This window comes from Homo sapiens, chromosome 11 (assembly GCF_000001405.40).
Source record: "Homo sapiens chromosome 11, GRCh38.p14 Primary Assembly".
Lineage (NCBI taxonomy): Eukaryota > Metazoa > Chordata > Mammalia > Primates > Hominidae > Homo > Homo sapiens.
The window spans coordinates 30,614,447-30,633,733 of NC_000011.10; the positions used below are offsets into that span (position 1 = coordinate 30,614,447).

At 35.7% G+C, this 19,287-nt stretch overlaps 1 long non-coding RNA gene across 1 annotated transcript in view; it reads left to right on the top strand.

Moving 5' to 3' along the window:
• Positions 1-18,882, top strand: part of MPPED2-AS1 (MPPED2 antisense RNA 1) — a 49,179-nt gene extending 30,297 nt beyond the window's left edge. The window contains exons 4-5 of the long non-coding RNA NR_183760.1: positions 15,613-15,697; positions 15,904-18,882. This is a non-coding gene — a long non-coding RNA (MPPED2 antisense RNA 1). The remainder of the gene's footprint in view (positions 1-15,612; positions 15,698-15,903) is intronic.
• The last annotated feature ends 405 nt before the right edge of the window (positions 18,883-19,287 follow it).

Here is a 19,287-nt window from a genome sequence, read left to right on the forward strand (position 1 = left end):
TTTTTCTTTCTGTGTCTGGCTTATTTCCCTTAGCATAATTTCATCCGGGTTCATACATATTGTCACAAAGGGCAGGATTTCTTTCTTTTTTAATGCTGAATAATATTCCATTCTATATACATATGCCACATTTTCTTTATTCATTCATCCATGGACATTTAGGTAGTTTCCGTATCTTGGCTATTGTCAATAATGCTGCAATGAGCATAGGACTGCAGATATCTCCTTGCGATCTTGATTTAAATTATTTTGGGTAAATATCTAGAAGTAGGATTACTGAATCAAATGGTAGTTCTATTTTTAATTTTCTGAGGACTCTCAATACTGTTTTCTATAATGGTTGCCCCAATTTACATTTCCATGAACAGTGTACCAGAGTTCCATTTTCTCCATATTCTTGCCAACACTTACTATCTCTTTTTTTAAATAATAATAACTAATAGACATAAGGTGATAGCTCCTTGTGATTTTAATTTGCATTTCCCTGATGGTTAGTGATGTTGAGCACATTTTCATATATCTGTTGGCCATTTGTATGTCTTCCTTAGAGAAACATCTGTTCAGGTCCTTTGCCCATTTTTAAGTCAGGTTATATTGTTTTACTGCTATTGAGTTGTATGATTTCCTTATGTGTTTTAGATGTTAATCCCTTATCAGAGATATGGTTTGCAAATATTTTCCCATTCCATGGGTTGTCTTTTCATTTATTGATTGTTTCCTTTGTTGTGCAAAACCTTTTTAGTTTAATTTAACCCCACATGTTTGTTTTTGCTTTTGTTGTCTATGCTTTTGGTGTCATATCCAAACATTCATTGTCAAGACCAGTGTCAAGGATTTTTTTTAGGAGTTTTATAGCTTCAAGTCTTATGTTTAACTCTTTAATTTTGAGTTGATTTTTTGTGTATCACATATAATAAAGGTCCGGTTTCATTCTTTTGCATGTAGATATAATTTGACCAACACCATTTATTGAATGAGCTATTCTTTCTCTATTTTGTATTGTTGGCACTGCTGTTGAAGATTACTGAATATGCTAGATTCTAGGTTCTGTTGTATTATTGTAAAGAGTGAGTTTTGTCTTAGTAGATAGTTAATATGGTTGAATTCAATACCTAAATTCTGTGACTCCTGTGATCAGCAGGGGTGGGAATCTATGCTCATTTATTTAAGCTTCTACTAAATTATCCTCCTGCCTCTATGTTTTTCTTGTTTTAATATAAGAGGACAAAAAACATGCTCAGAAAACTCTTTATATTGAGCTTGCCTCCTTCAGCGTTTGAGTTAATGAATGGAGAGACTATGGCATATACGATGCTGAATTCAAATGCTGAAGACTAATTCATTAATATTTTATTGAATAAATATTTCTTAAACCCGCTTTGTGTCAATTACTCTGCATTTTTGTATTCTAGGAATACAAAAATAAAGAAGATTTTCAAGGACCTTATAGTCTAGTGAGTGGGACAACCAATACATAGATTAATATAAAGGAATATAATAAATATTTTAATGGAGACACAGAGTGAATTTGTAGGAGCATACAGGATAGGTATCTAACCTAGCCTGGTAGTATTAAAACAGAAATTTTTGTTTGTCTGCTTTGTTTTCTTTTTAACTTAAGGTCTTGCTCTGTCACCCAGGCTGGAGTGCATAGTGCCATCATAACTTACGGCAACCTCAAACTCCTGGGCTCAATTGATCCTCCTACATCAGCCTCTTGAGTAACGGGGACAAGTGTGTACTACCATGGCCGGATTTTTTTTTTTTTAATGTATTGTAAAGCAAGGTTTATGTTGCCCAGGCTGGTCTCAAACTCCTGGGCTTAAGCAATCTGCTTGTCTCAGCCTCCCAAAGAGTTGGAATTACAAGCATGAGCCACCACACCCAGCCTAGAAAGTGTATTATAAGGAGGTACACCCTAAGTAAAAACATGGAAATATTTAGAGACTACAAGAATGAATACAAAATCTCCATACATTTCTAGCATTTTTGTAAGATATTTTATTTCATTTCAACTCAACTAAAATTTACTAAACATTTACTGTGTGTCTCACGTTGTTGCAAACACTAAGGAAGAAAATAAATTCTTATGAAGCATCTCACAATATACCCAAGGAAAAGGAAGGAAAAATGGACACTCTTTTTACACAAAAAAATCTTCATTAGCCATCACCATGACTTTTTTAAAAAATTTTTTTCCTAATTTTTAGGTAAGAAAATGGAATCTCAGAAAAATTAAATAACACAGATAAGGTTATAGAGATAATAACTGAAAGAATAAAGACTGAAAACCAAATCCATCTACTCCAATTCATGCTATTTCTACCAATTTTATAAGACAATATTAAGAACAATTCTAACTTCATCAATTTCTATTTCATTTCTAGAAAATAAAAATCAATATGTCACATGTACGTAGTTTTAAAAATCAAATAATTCTGACTGTTATAATTTAAAAATCTCAGAATAAAAAAACAAAATTCTCAACCACAGAGAAACATCTAAAATGGAGAATTACACTCCAAAGCTCAATAATTTATGTAAGTATTTTTCTAGTATTAATATAGTATAATGCTTGCAAAATGATGAAACATACTGGGTAGATATAAAATTCTGTGTAAGACCTAATTTAAGCTATTTGTAATGTGCCTTTAACTTTGTGTTTTCAGGGTTTGCCCTGAGATTTTGCTAGTTTATAATATGCCATTATAAAGATGTAAAAAAATAACAGAATGAAGCCATATGGTTCTATATCAGATATCTTTACAAAATAAACAATTAGCAATATTTCAAATAATTCTTGAACACACGTCTACAATTTCAAGGAATTAACACAAGCAAACTAGTACTCACTCACTTTCATGTCAAGAAATATTCAGAGTATATGATTTGAAATGATAGAACCTCACTACTGGGTTTACTATATGAAATATGCAGGATATTACAAGTGTCATTTTATCTAGTAGCTGAGTTCTGTGACATGGAAACTAAGTTTGGACCATCTGCCACACTCAGGACACCAGCAAGTCATCTCCTGTTATGGCTCAAGAGAAAAAATAATACATTTCAGATCATAATGGGGACACAGTTAAGTCCTTGGTTAAAAACAAAACAAAACAAATGTATTCCAATAAGAGAATAGCAAGAGAAATAATGAAGTGGGAAAAGTTAAAAATGACCAAATATTCCAAAGTGCATTGCACACTACTTTGTGCACTACCAGGGTTCTAGCACACATAACAATATTGACACTTCCTAACAAATGTTTATGTTTCAGAAATTTGTTTCTAGGGCAATTGTGTATAATCATAAACAACTTTCTAATTTAAACAAATGCTAAGTGGTGTTTCAGTTCTAAGTTTAGGCTAGAGAAACTCATTTAATAGTGAATAACTTGATTGTAACATAATGATACTGTACAATATAAGCACTATTGAGAACATTCAAGAAAACACATTCTATTTTCTCCCTTGAAACTCTAGAAATGTATTTTCCTTCATTGAGGAAGTAGCTTTAGTAGTCCACTAGGGGTAGGGAGAAAAGCAGAACAGGTTTCAAATTGGGAGAACAGAGGAAATTGCAGAAGGTAAGACTCTGGTAGGGGCAGTAGAAGTTGAAACACTGGATATGACTAGAATTTATTGGGTGGAGTTTCTGGAAAAGCACTTTAAAGAGGGCTAACTGAGCTTTGAGAAACACACTCTTTGCTCTTTGCTTATCCTGCCCTGAGTGCAGATGTGATGGCTGGAGCTGGAGTGGATGTCTTATAGACATGAGTGGACTTTAAGTATAGAAGTCATGCACTAAGGATGGGAAATAAGAAAGGATACACTTGGAAAATTGGTAAAAGTAGGAACTGTTTTTCAGCTTGACACTGCCTGCGTTTAAACTTCATTTATGTGAGACAAAATAAACATGAATCTTGTTTAAGTCACTCGTATTTTGGATATTTGTTCCTAGCAACCAAATACTAGTCCTAAGTGATACAAGGGACATAATGAAAATTTATTGAGAACATTCTCTTTGCCAGGCAAAGTGAATCTGTTCTGAGGATAACAGATGAAAGACATTACTCTTACTTTCAAAGTGCTTAGTCTATAGCAAGTAAACCAATGACTATAATAATGTGTGATGAGTGTTTGTATGTTAGAGGAACACTTAGGAGGAACACTCAATCTCACTTGTGGCATTCTTTTAGTTAAAAAAAAATCTTGTGTTATTTGGTCATGATCCTGATTTAGCTAAAGAATTTTATTATGTTACAGCTGCAAAATACTTGTAGGATTAGATTCTTACTTTTCATTTCTCCTACCCCAGTTTTTTTCATTTTGGTGAATGGCACCCACTCACCCAATTTAGATTTTCATTTCACCTTTGATTATTTGTCTAGCTGTGAAGCAGTTTCATATATCCTATTGGAAGTAGTTGAGGTTTTTGAATCTGTAAATTGATATCTATCAGCAGTTTTGAAAAATTCTTAGCCATTTTCTCTTCAAATGTGGCTTCTGCTTCTTATCTCTTTCCTGTACCCTGAGGCTCAATCAAATGTGTATTAAACCTCTCCCTGTCTGCTCTGTGCTCAATTCTGAATTTTCTATCCTTTTGTCTTTCCCTGCTTAATTAGTGATATTTTCTTCTATTTCACTAATTATCCCTTCAACTACATCAACCATCCATTGAATTCTTCATTTTGTTGTTGTATTTTTCAATTATTGAATTTCTATTTGGTTTCTTTGCCCATTTGTCTTGTCACTTTTTAAGAGTTTCTGAGTCTCTGTTTGAAATTATTAGGATTGAACTTTTCCTCCTTGAATATAGTTGATTTATATTCTGTGACTGAAAATTCCAAGATTTGAAGTATTGATTGGTTTATTTTTATTCGTTTTACATCTGCTAGTCATGTCTTCTCATGTATCTAATTAGGTTTGGTTTTATTCTTGGCTTGATCAAATATTTGTAGAAAAATGTGTAGAGAATATTATATTTCTCTGTAAAGGATTTTTGTCTCAGACAGGTACCTGTGCATTAGTAATTAAAGATTATCCTAATCCAGTTTCCATGCCTGAAATTTTGCTAGGTCACCCAGATGGCTAAAAGCTGGGTGCCATCCGTGCAAGTGCTATTTTGCCTTCAGTTCACCTATCTTTCATGATATATCCCACCAGGGTGCAAGGCCAAGGTAGAGATGGCTCAGCAGAGTTCCCACTCTTGCCAAACTTTGGACTGACTTGTATTTCCTACACTTCTTGAGGATATTAAAAGTACAACTCAACCTCTGGGACTCCTCTCCTGGATGGGCAAATACAGGGCAAAACCCCTCAAATATTTGGCTCATGTCTCTGAATTTTCATCCCTTTTTGGATGTTAGTCTATTGATTTCTCATGTATTTGTTAGCTCTTGGATTACCTTTAAAAGATTTTGAAAAAATAACTCTACCTTCCTTAGTAGTTGTTATGGTCTTAATGTGTGCCCTGCAAAGTCATATGTTGAAACTTTTGATGGTGAAAGTGAAAGTGATGGTATTAGGAGGTGTGGACCTTTAGAATGTGATTGAGTCATGAGAGCAGGGCCCTCCTGGATGGGATTATGGTCCTTATAGAAAGAGCTTCGGGGAATAGGTTTTCTCTTTTCTGCCATATGAGGACAGTGTTCATCCTCTTTTGCCCTTTCTGTCTCTTCTGCCATGTAAGGACACCATCTATAAAGAATGAGCCTTCACCAGATACCAAAGCTGCCAGCACCTTGACCTTGGACTTCCCAACTTACAGAACAGTGAGAAAATAAATTTCTGCTGTTTGTAAATTACCCAGCCTGTGATATTTTATTATAGCAGCACAAACCGACTGAGTCAGTAATTTTCATCAGTGATTTGAATAATCTGCCATTATCAAAACTAGAAGTCCAGTTCTATCAGTATTTCTATAAACCACATCTTGAGTCAATCCACTTCTGTCCACTTCAATACAAACCACTTTGAAAAACACCATTATTTCTACGTAGACCACTGGGATGGTCATTTAATTTAATTTCCCTGTATCCTTGGTTGCTTTCTTCATTCCACAGTTTCTCAATCTTTGCACTATGGATATTTTGGGCAGAATAATTCTTTTTGGGGATGGAGGCAGGAGATCTGTCCTGTGCCTTATAGTATATTTAGCAGCAGCCTTGGCCTCTACCCACTAGATGTGAGTAACACCCTCCCCCTTCCTTCTGTAGTTTTGAGAGCCAAAACCATCTCCTAGGGGGAGACATTGCTAAATGTCTCCTGGGGAACAAAATCACCCTCCAATGAGAACCGCTGTTCTAATCCATCCATTACACAGACAAAAGTAAACTTAAAATATATAAGTTATAAGCCGTCATTATTGAAAGTCCTTTAATGGCTCTAAGAAAATAATTTCAACCCTTTATAAAGCCCTTCAAGGGATTACATAAGAGGGTTTCTGTTTATATTCCTAATTACATCTCTTACCAATTTTCTCTTCAGAGTTTGTTTTGCAGCCACATTGACTTTTCTTTCTCTCAAATCTTTTGACAGCTGTAGGACCTTTGCATATGTGGTCCTTTTGCTTTTGCCCTTCATCTGTCTTCTCATCCTATAGATCTCAGTTTAATTAAATCAGAATGCCTCAAAACCGGCATTCTGTTGAATGAAAGAATGAGTGAATAAAGCAATTTCAGTTCTTAGATTAGATACTACCTTAGAAGAGGTACCTTATTCAAGACCTTCTTAACGAAACAAGCCAAATCAAAATGAAACAAAACCAAAATCAATCAACCTCCATTATCCTCTGTATCATGGCAACCTATGATTTTCTACTAATTTGCTGAGTCCCAGAAGACAGAGGTCCAAATAACACCCACTGACCAGTCATCAGGACTTTTCTGCTATCTTTTTTCCCTAATACTATCCCTCAGATGGTTCCATGAACTTATGGCCAAACTAATTGTTTCTAAGAAAATTAGAAAGAAAACCAAGTTCCTCTTTTTTTTTCTTTTATATTTTCCTCTACCCTTTTTCCATATTTCCACAAACTGCAATTTTAAAGCACACATTGAAATTATACAGGCAATGTTTCTCAATGACAGTTTTATTAAATGTGCTTTAGTTCATTTTTTAAAAATACAAATATTAATTTGACTTCAAATTTATTTATTTTTTCCTTTCTAGGTCTGGAAGGATGTTAACTGATAGAATTTTTATTTAGCCTATTATTTCAAGTTTCAGCATAGTGATGCCTCTGCCTTAAGGTAGAAGTTAGTTTGATTCTTGAAATCTCAGTTGAAAGAATTCTGGTGAACTCTATTCCAATCACCAGACATTCACATTAACTAACTTTCTGATGGAGGAGAAACAGTCTGCAAACGCTGAATATGGAAGGCAGGCAATAATGCCCATTCACAGTATTTTTCCACCACTTCTGCTATAAGTTAAGATTGTAACAGATAGAATATTAATTTCAATAAAAGAGTTTGAAATGATAAGACTGTAGTAGAAAATATTTTGAAACCATATACTGTCTTTTCATATGTATAGTTTATCTTCATTATTTATATCAGACTATGAGAAACAGATGCAAGATGTCCGTAGTTTTCTCTAGGGAGAAATAAGTAATACTAATGAAATACAGATTATGCTTAAACAGATAATCAAGAAATTAAAATTTACGGCATTGAACAACTCTTGGCATGGAAATGATCTACTTGAAGCTTCTGAAGAACACGTGTACCTGAGAAGAAATATTAGATGCACTGTGAAGAGAAAAAGAGTACTTGAATTGTATGCTTCTGAAATGTTAAGATGAGGCCTTAGGAAAATCTTGAAATACAAATGAGTCTAAACCCTATTTTCTCAATCTGCGTAATATACGTGGCATTAATCAGAATGTAACTAGAGGAACATCTGGGAAATTATAATTCATTTATGAAAGAGTAAGTCAAGCTCTACAAAGCAAAGGGCTCGTGACAAACAAATATTGTACCTAATTTTTCAGCATAAGAAACAAAATTAAAACTGACAGGTGAGTAGGATGTGGTGTAATAGGGAAACTGCAAAAAAGGAGCTTCAGCTTCAAGTATTTTCTCCAGTTGTGTGATCTTGGACGAGTCATTTACTTTTATCTTACTTTTATTATTTTATTATTTCAAATGAATAAATTTTATTTTTAGAGAAGTTTTAAGTTCACAACAAAATTAAGCAGGAAGTACAGAGAGTTCCTATTAATATATACTCTCTGCCCTTGGACATGCACAGACACCACCCCCCTCGCAGCTGTTATCAACGTCCCCACTAGAGTGGTATATTTACTATAACTGATGAACCTACACTGACACTTCATAATCACCTGAAGCCCATAGCTTATATTAGGGTTAATTCTTGATGTTGTACATTCTATAGGTTTTGACAAATGTATAGTGACATATCTTCGTCACTGTAGTATACAGATATACAGAATAGTTTCTTAATCACTGTAGTATACAGAATAGTTTCATGGCCACCAAACTTCTCTGCATTCTATGTATCCACCCATCCTTCCTTGCTCTGAAGTCTGCTCTGCATAAAATTAATATGAAATTAATATATAGCTACCCCGCCTTTCTTTTAATTAGCATTATCATGCTACATATTTGTCGATCCATTCACTTTTAATCAACATATGTCTTTATATTTAAAGTAGGTTTCTTGTCAACAACATATAATTGGGTCTTCTTTTTTAGTCCACTCTTACAATCTCTGTTTTTAATTGGTATATTCAGATTGTTGACTTTTAAAGTGATTATTGATAGAGTTAGGTTAATATTTACCATATTTGTTTCTGGTTTCTACTTGTTGCCATTGCTTTTTGTTTCTATTTTTGCCTTCCATACTTTTACTCCCTTTTATGGTTTTAATTGTTTTTTATGATTTCATTTTCTATCTTTCCTTAGCATGTTAGTTATACTTCTTTTTTTTTCAGTGGTTGCCCTAGAATTTGCAATATATATTTACAATTAATCCAAATTCACTTTCAAATACTGCTTCACGGATGGTGCAAGTATCTTAGAATGACAAAACATTCCTAATTGCTCCCTCCCATCCCTTATACCATTGCTTTCATTCATTTCACTTATACATAAACACACACACACACACACAGAGGCACACATAATTCTAATTCTATACATTGTTGATATTATTATTTTGAACAAACTGTTAATTGTTACATCAATTAATAATTTTTTTAAAAAGTTTTTATTTTACCTTCACTTAATCAGTCTCCAGTGTTTGTTCCTCATTTAAGTAGATCTGATTTTCTGACCTGTGTCACTTATCTGATGAATTTTTAACATTTTTTGCAAGGTGTGTCTACCGGCAACAAATTTGCCTGAGAAAATCTTTTTTTTTTTTTTTTTTGAGACGGAGTCTCACTCTGTCACCCAGGCTGGAGTGCAGTGGCGCCATCTCGGCTCACTGCAAGCTCCACCTCCCGGGTTCATGCCTTTCTCCCCCGCTCAGCCTCCCGAGTAGCAGGTGGCTCACGCCTGTAATCCCAGCACTTTGGGAGGCCGAGGCGGGCGGATCCCGAGGTCAGGAGATCAAGACCATCCTGGCTAACACGGTGAAACCCCGTCTCTACGAAAAATACAAAAACAAGATTAACTGAGAAAATCTTTATGAGTTTTTTCTTTCAGTTTAAATATTTTACACCACTTTCTTGCTTGCATGGTTTCTAAGAAGGTTATAATCCTTATGTTTGAGCCTCTATATGTAAAGTGTTTTTTTCCTCTGACTTCTTTCAAGATTGTTTCTTTATATTTATTTACTGAACTCTGTACATGACATGCAGAAATTTACTTTTTTTTTCTTTTGCATTTGTCCAGCTTGGTGTTGTTTGAGTTTCCGAAACTGTGGTTTGCTGTCTGAAATTAATTTGGGGGAAATTCTCAGTCATTATTCCTTCAAATATTGCTTCTCATCCTTTCTCTCTTTCTTCTCCTTCTGGTATTCCCATTGTGCATAATTACATCTTTTGTAGTATTCTCACAGTTCTTAGCTATTCCGTCTGTTTTTTGTTTTTTTGTTGTTGTTTTGTTTTGTTTTTGCCAGTTTTCAGTCTTTTTTCTCTTTGTTTTTCAGTTTTGGAAGTTGCTATTGTTATATCCTCACATGCAGAAATTTTTTTTCCTCAGCCATGTCCAATCGGCTAATGAGCCCATCAAAGGCATTCTTCATTTCTGTTATGGTGTTTGATCTCTAGCATTTCTTTATTATTCTTTTTAAATTTTTCATCTCTCTGTTGACATTATCCATCTGTTTTTGCTTGTTGTCTACTATTTGTGAGGGGGACAGAAACAGTGTTCTACGGTCCTGTGATCAGGTCCCAATCTTTGGGTGAGCCAAGGGCCCTAGACTGTGAACTTCACCAGTGCTTCTGGGTTTTTTTTTTTTTTTTTTATCCTCCCTTAGGTGGGACAGGATGGCTACAGTAGGCTGGAGTTGGGTGTTTCCTTTCCATAAGGTTAAAAACCCAGCAGGTTAAGCTCTGGTGAAATATTCCCATGAGGGCATTTTTCCTTAATATTCACTTTAAGGACCTGTTAGAGCTTCTGGGTATAATTCACAAGATTATTAAGGCCCTCCCAGGTCTGTGACCCCTGGAGTTTTATCCCTCAGGCTTGTTCACACTGAACCTCTGGCAGTTCATCAATTAGCTTAGATTTTTCTTCCCAGGTATTTGTCCCTGCAAAGGTTTCTGCTTGTGGGTTTCTGCTCTAACACATTGAGATTCTCTGTATATGAATGTCTAATGTCTATCTCCATAGTTTTGGAGGCAGAGGTTTGCCCTGTGAGCTCACTTCTCTCACAGATCTAATAAGAGTTGTTGATTTTTCAGCTTGTTTAGTTTTTAACTTGTTATTAGGATGGAGTGAAGAGTTCTAAGTTCCTTACATGTTGGGCCAGAAACTGGAAGTCAGATCATTTACGTTTTAAAGGCTCAGTTTCATTGGGTGTAAATGAATGAGTCTGTGCCCTCAATGATAATTAACTTTTGTTAAAGGAAAGGGCCATTCAGAAAAAAATCATGTTATAAAGACCTATTTGTTTTTCATTCCAAATGAAAATTGCTTTACCGCATCTCCTGGAAACTGTGTACATTTATCATTTAGATTACCTATTTTGTTGAACAGAGTACTTCAATGAGAATATTAGCACTGTTTTTTGCTACACTTTTAATAACTGAATAAAGAAAAGATCAGAAAATATGGAGGCACTTTTCCAATCATTCATGCTGAAATTAGATCTTAGGTCCTGTGGAGAATTTGGATAGGACTTGTTCTCTGAGAACAATAGATGCTCATCAAATGACTATGTTCATTCCAGGTTAAAAATTACATAAATGCTAAAATCTTATGTAATCCTACCACCCATTATAAGGTATTTAAAGCGCCAGGAGATAAGATTTTGGTGCTATTTTAGGGACTAGGAAAATTATATATGTTGGAGTTAGAGATAGCTCTATAGTAAGATACAACCAGAGTTTTCAGAAAATTTAGAGAACTGGGATGATAGTTCAGCTTTGTTTAACACTTTAATCGGTTTCTGAAAAAATAAGAATTTGCCTATGGACAAAAAAACTAAAATGAGACGTGAATAGAGAAAGCCCCGAAGATACCATGTAAACTTCAGAGCTCATCTGGTGTTCATTAGACGTTTCAGAATATTTCAGAACTGCAAAGGAACCTTGCTTTGTCAGGATGAGTGGGCGAGATGAAGGCATGAATGGCTCCTGGGATTTTCAAGAAGCGGGGTTCATTCATTCTAAGTGTTGACTGGAGCAAAGGGACAAGGAAGAAAATGATGATCACACAGAAGTAGAACAACCAAAAGGATTTCCTGAAGATCGTGGGTCAAGAGAATAAAGTAGATATGAGTGTTTAGGGATTTAAATTGAAATCAGTTGTTGAAAAATTTGCTTTTCACACATTGCTTATCTGGACCCAGGGTTGCAGAGGTAAAATGTTGGCCTGCTAATCTGATCAGGCCCCAAAGACAAGGAAATAAGCACCTAATTATGCAGGGGAAAACAGAGATGGAGATGATGCGGACATCCAAGTGATAGGGCTGTTGAGTCTTTGACAACAGAAATCCTTTATGTTCCCCAACACTTGGGGAGTGAATATTCTTCTCCCTAAGGAACTACCTGACTTTTGCTCATTATTTATTTCCGTAGGTTATATTATGCCCTTCATGATTTTAATTTCTCTATGAAGCATCAGTTCCTGAAGGAAAACACACAACCCCAAGCAGAAGAAGAGTTTCTTCTTTATATCCCAAAATACCCTGTGCAAATCTCTACCGTGGCTCTTGAAACTACATATAGCAGTGGGCTCAACTTTTTCGTTTTTGAGCATAGAATTCTCAGCAGAACATTTGAAGGCATTAACTCATATTTATCGATGTCACTTTGTTCACTGGGTAGACCTTTAGCCTTGTGTTTCTGTTTGAGAGGGGACACTTCACACCCTGATTTATACATTCAGGAGGCATACATCTGAAGCTTTTCAATAAATGCACACTTTCTCAACAGCTCTGCCTCAACGTTGCTTCTTTTACTCCCTATGGTTTTTATCCTGCAATACACCACATTGCATGAACTATTCTACTTATTTGTTCTCATAGTTTGTATCCTAGTTTGTAATAAATAAAGTTTTCAATGTGACTAAATTTTGCCACATGCCTGTGGAAGATGCACAGTACATCAGAGTGTCACTTTGCTGTGGTTGGGAACCAGTGTTCTATCAAAATTGTTGAGTTTTTTTTTTCCTATGGACTATGGTTAAATGAATAAAAGATTGAACTTGGTATAAGATACTGTAAATATTAAAGTCTATATATTTCAAATGGAGGAATTTAAGAGACTTTTTAAAAATATGCAATGCCCTGAAATTTTAGTATTTAGTTTTTAAAATCTCACAATTCTTGATTTATGCCACCACTAATTTTGGGAACTTTCACATAAAGATTTTGCAGACATGCTTGCTCTTTCTTCCTTCATTATGTTCTCCACTTTGTCTTTTGTTTGGCACAAACTCTCTCTGCTCTTCCCTAAAATTTCAGTATAACTCAGAAGGTTACATAAACTTCAGCATGAGAAACTTCAAAATATTAAACCTCTTTTTTTTTTTTTTAAAGCTGAGGAACGTATTTTATGGGGTCTGCCCAAGAGAGTTCATTATTGCAAAGTCAGTTGTGGCACCTAAATAATTAACCTATAACCAATATATGTGTGAAATTATTGCCTTAAGCTCGCCTTGGTGACTGTTTGCCATTAAATTAGTGGGATAAATAATTTACACCAAAATGTGGACCTGAGATAACACCATTAAATTGATAGGACTTGTTCATTAATTGTAAGGAATTAGATTAGATGAAACACAATTCCCCAAGTGTGAGCTATCCTGTGGTGTAAACGGTGTGTTAGTTCTATAGTTGCATAGAGGAATAGATGAAGACCCTGGAATTGCTCAGCTGATGCAATATCGAATTGAGTAGGGCATTTGTAAAACATTGTACTAAATATACATAGAAGGGGGAGTGTCTGTGAAGCTTTGAAATGACTAGAAGCAAGAGAAAGCACAACATTTCTTGGCTAAAAACAAAAAGAAATAGGACTATCCATTTTTGTTTTCAGTTAATGGTAATTGTTTTTGAACTCTGCTGGTCTAAAATCACCAGAGGTAATACTCCCCAAGAAAATCTGATTCTGTAGGTCAAGGGTAGGACCTAAGAATATTCTTAAACAAGCACTGCAAGTGATTCTGATGCAAGTGGTATGGACCAAATTTCAAGTAACACTATTCAGGGTGATTTGATAGGTTTAATCACCCTGTGGGCAAAGTCCCTGTCTTGTACAGCTCCAGTGTTAAGCTTGGTGCCTTTAATCCATAAATATTATTTCTCCAAAGAGTACTTTGTGCCTAGCTCTGTTGCAAAGAGTGGTCAATAAGGCAGATGAAGCTTTGACTGCTCAGATAGAGGGAGAGGTTTTTTAACACCTCATATTTCGCTTTTCTTGGCACATTCTCTCAATGTAGCTCCTTTCCAATAATTTTAAGGCAATATATTGACATGCTTGTGGGGGCTATGATAAAAATCTGTCAAAAGAAACAAATGAAACCAAGAGTTAGACTGTTTAATACACAATGGAAGCATCAGTGCTCACATGACGAGACAGGTAAGAAAGTGTTGTGTTGCCTTCTTTATGTTTTGCTTCCTCACAAGCCAACAGGGTTGACCTCATTACCTGGCTTATCCTCTCCCTGAAAATATTCTCCTGTTGTTAGAACCAGGCTGCACCCCAGCCTAGTGAAGAAAACAGCATCCAACAGATAGTTTTCAGTCTGATGAGTGTTACATAAAATATGCTAAAGGAGAATACAACGTGTTGCTATCTTAGGCTAGGATAGTCCAGGGAAACATTTCTGAGGAATTGCTGTTTAAGCTGAGAATTGAAACGTCAATGGAATTTACCTAAGCCAAGAATATGAGGGGAGGGATAGATGGGGGGGATTTCAATGGAAAGCAAACCGAATGTATGGTGAGATGACTTAGGAAGGAAGCCTCCTTTGTAAAAACAGCCAAAAAACCAGTAAGGTTGGATCTCTAGAGAGTGTTGGGAGGCAGGCTAAAAAGATTCACAAGGGCTAGACTAGGGAGAACTTTGCAAATCACTGAAGTTTTAAGCAGGATGACTAGGCACTTAGTGAATATTGCAATTGGGTAGATTTCTGAACTGTATCAAGATGCAAATAATCTCAAAGTTCACAGATTTCCTTGAAATCTGATTCTGACAGAACTTACTAATTTTCTATCCCCACTCTTACATGCTCAGAGAACTCCAGTTTATTTGAGACCAGCAACATACCTAGCCCAGGGGATTAATCAGAATAGATCTAACACAATCACATCTATTTTATTTGTTTGCCAGCTACTTATTGCCCCAGGCTCCCTTGTGTCTAGGAGTCACACATATGTAGACGATAACTGGCCAATCTGACATGTAGGAAAGTGTACTCAGGGACTCGTATTAGCTTATCACTGCTGCTATAACAAATTGCAGCAAATTTAGAGGCTTAAAACACACACTTGTTCTCTTATAGCTCTGGAAGCCAGAAGTCTGAAATCAGTCTCCTTGGGCTGAAGTGGAGGTGTCAGCAGGGGTCTTCCTTCTTGAGACTCCAGAAAGAGTCAGTTTCCTCACCTCTTCTAGTTTCTGGAGGCCACCTGAATTCTTGGCTCATGAGTTCTTTCTCATATCACTCCAACCTCCTGCTTCTACTTATCTCTCCTACTTCTCTTCTTTTGTGTCAAAGCTCTGGTTGTCTCCCTCTTATCAGGACACTTGTGATTATATTTAGGATCCACTGAGTTATCCAGAATAATCTCCCCATTTCAATTTAATCACATCTGCAAAGTCCTTTTGCCATATAAGGTTTCATTCACAGGTTCTGGGTACTCAAACAAGGATATGGTGGCCAGTATTTAGTCTACCACAATGCCTCTGGGTAAATTTTTATTTCCTGATAACCAGAGATCACTCTTTCCAGTCTCTCCCCTTTCTTCTGTCTAGGAATTTTTTTGGGGGAGATAACTTGATGCCTGGAGCTGCTGCTGCATCTTATGTAAATGACAACTAAGGATAAAAACCACACACAGTAAGTAAAGAAAGAGCTCAGAACCCAAGTAATTGGTAACAATGTTGAGCTGCTGTAAAGAATCATAAGGAACATGCCTCCAAATTTTCTGTTAGGTATGATCATTGATTGTCTTTCCTTTTAATGCCACAGTTCATTGGTATTATGACCTGTAGCTGAATACAGTAGTCCCCACTCACCCACTGTTTCTCTTTCCTTGGTTTCAGTTACCCAAGGTGCAGTAAAAGAAGATATTTTGGGAGGAAGAGAGAAAGCAAGAGAGAGAAACCACATTTTCATAACTTTTGTTACAGTATATTGTTATAATTGGTCTATTTTTATTATTATTGTTGTTCATATTTTACTTTAATTTATAAATTAAACTTCATTATAGGTATGTACAGGAAAAAATATGGTATTATATATGATTTGGTACTATCCTTGGTTTCAGGCATCCACTGAGGGTCTTGGAACATATCACCTTGGATAGGGGAGACTACTGACTTCCTTACTGCTCTATGTGACAAATGAAGTTTGGTCTTATTTGCAGCCAGGAAAATTTTATTATCAAGACTTTAATATTAATACAGAAATAGGAACTTCCAGGGATAGACAAAAATGAAGAGAGCATCTGTTCCAGCTTCTTTATTTTAAAGATTTGAGGCTCAGAGAGGAGATATACTTCTTCAAAATCAACAGCCTATTAGTTCACAACTGCGATTACAATTTCGTCTCCTGGCTCTGGGTTTAATAATATTCCCCCACATCATAAAACCTTGGAACTATCGAAATGATAGCTTTGAGGGGAAAAATAGGCAAAGAAGTAATATGTTAAACTTTCCCTGGGATGCAGGCTTTAATCAGGTTTCAAATTCTTCCAACATAATATAATTTAATGGTGAGAGCTCTTGACATTAAGAGGTGAAATTTATATTTAAAAGGCTAAGATCGTGACATATTAAAGCACTTCAAAAATGTTGGCAACAAATACCAAGAGTAACTGATGGTTGTTATTATACAAGAACAAAGAAGTTCATCCTCTGGAATTAAAGGTGTGTTAGTGTCATTGTTGCTCATGGGGAGGAGTAGGCACCTGACTTTCTTTTTTTCCTTACGACAGCTTTATCCAAATAAAGCACGGTGTGTTTCATCACCCATAATGGAAAGTGCCTGTCACTCCTTGAACAACATCATATGGTTGGTGGCCGGTGGATAATGGACCACTGAGTGTCAAGGTGACTGGCTTTCAATGCACACAAAACTAAAAATTATAGACCTGTCATTCCACAGGCAGGCCACAATTAGCTGTCTATGCAACTTGAAATTTCCATTTTGCCAGCTGAGTAATCATTTGACTAGAGTTTTTCATTTGGAAGCATTTCTAAGCCTTTTGTGTGCAAGTCTTTTAAAATGTGGATCCTGAAGTAAATAAACAGTGCACTTAATCAGATGTATTCTTTTTAGAAACACCCCTTCGGAAACACACAGGCAAACCCCAACATTGTTGTAATAGTAACAACAATAATGTGACAAAACAATATAAGCCTTGGGTATTTTATTTAGGGATCTTAAAAGTTCACAGCGAAAGGTAAGAATCATTTCTTAATACCTCAGAGTGCAGAATTTAGAAAAAGAAACTGAGATTTTAGCAGTCAGTAACTAGATAAGGTCACCAAAGGAGAAGTAAACTCAGAGCTAGGGGTCAAAACTTGGGAATTTCAGTGTCAGAAACATTCACTGATTCAAAACTATCCATTTACCAGTTTTCTATTTACATTTGGTTTCCAACTCCATATCTGAGTTCTGTCATTTCTCTGATTCTTTGAGGGATAGAGAAAATGATACCAAGTGGAGTCTGTTGGAAAATTGTGTTGTAATTTCCATTCAGTTGCTGTACGTGAAGTAAACTTCAGGATTCTACAATCCCAGATCAGATTCTAGACTGTCTAATTGAACCTGAATCTTCTTTTACCCTCTTCCTGCCCTGTCCCTGGTCCACATTACTCTCTCTCCTTCTCCCTCGGATGATTTATATCTACACTTAAATTGCCGAGCCACAAGGATACAAGTGAAGTTGACAATCAATATGAATTAAGGAAAAAATCAGAAGTCTGAGATCAGAAGTGTTTGAGTGAAATTCTCCCTACAAGTCTTGGCAACCTCATGATTTTGTTTAATTTTCCAACATGTTTTGGATTATTGGAAAGAGTTACATGGGATAAAAAGGATTTGCCTGGCAGAGTAAAAGAACTGAATTTGGATTGTACTGAAGTAGGTCCTAACTAGGCTGTTGATGGTGAAATATTGACGATTCTATTGTTTTGAATGAATGAGTGTCATATTTTACTGGGAATTGATTTCTGAACTTCAGTCAAGGAGTGACTGAATTTGCAATTAGAGTCACTCTGTTTTGTAACTCAGATTATGCAAGGATCATTCTGAAACAGCAACCAAGATATAAGCCCTTGTTGCATGGCTTTTCTTTAATTTCTAATTTTGTGTGTCTGTGTTCAGTTTTTAAAGGACCAAAAAGTTTTTTTTCCCCCATCTCTCTAGAAAAAAAAGGAACATACCCTAGGATTACAAGGGGCTTGATTATCTGTTTTATAAGAATCTTAACCCAGGAATTGGTTAATATTCTTTCTCCCATTTAGAAAAATAGTAGGCTTTGTCGTTGATTCCTAATGATTAGCACAAAAAGGGAAAGGCTTTTTAAAACCAAGATAAAATCACTTTAATTCCAAAAGTGTCCATTTAAGAAATATAAACTGTGAAGATAAGCAATGGCTATTTTCTCTAAAGGAAAGTATTTTCAAATGAACAGAACAGGCAAATGTAGACTTAATTAGGTGGAGTCAGATGGGTATTAATTATTCACCTTTCCAGGGTGAGAATAATAGCATTGTTGCTAAAGAAATGAAATAAGGCATGACACTTCTTTCTTCTTCATTCTGTGAAAGCTGCTCTGATCTGAACAGGTTAAAGATGGGATAACAGGAGGACAGACTGAAAATTTGCTCTTCCCTTCACAATTGAGGGTAGATAGTCTTTCGAGAGTGTAGTATCCTCCATTGAAATAAAATGTTATTGACTACCTGCTTGGAGACATAAAAACCTTCTCATGTTTGGAATGTACATGTACTTCTCTGTTTTGCTCTCTTGAACATTTTCAAAATAGCTAAATAAAATTTGTCCTCATTCTTAGAGTTCTGTATATTCTAGACTTGAAAATAGTGGCCAACAGTGAGTAGTAATTCACACTGATGATAATCACACCAGACTAGGTTTGTTTAATTTTGTTATAGCCTCTAAAAAGCATTTGTTAAGCATCTGCTCTGTTACACAGGTAAGATCTCATGATGGATGTGGAGTCTACAAATGAAAAATACTTAAACGCACTGCAGTAAAAGATCAACACTTACTCTAATATAATTTGTTAGTACCGAGTGTCAAAAAGTGGGGTTTGAAAAAACCTAAGGGTAAGATTTAGCAGGTGTGGGGTCTAGTCCTGACACTGATGGTGACTACTTGTTGCCTACCTCAATTCTGGTCATAAGAGCTATGAGTGTGAATGTGTATGTTAAGTAGTGTGAGGTTGTGTGACTGGAAGG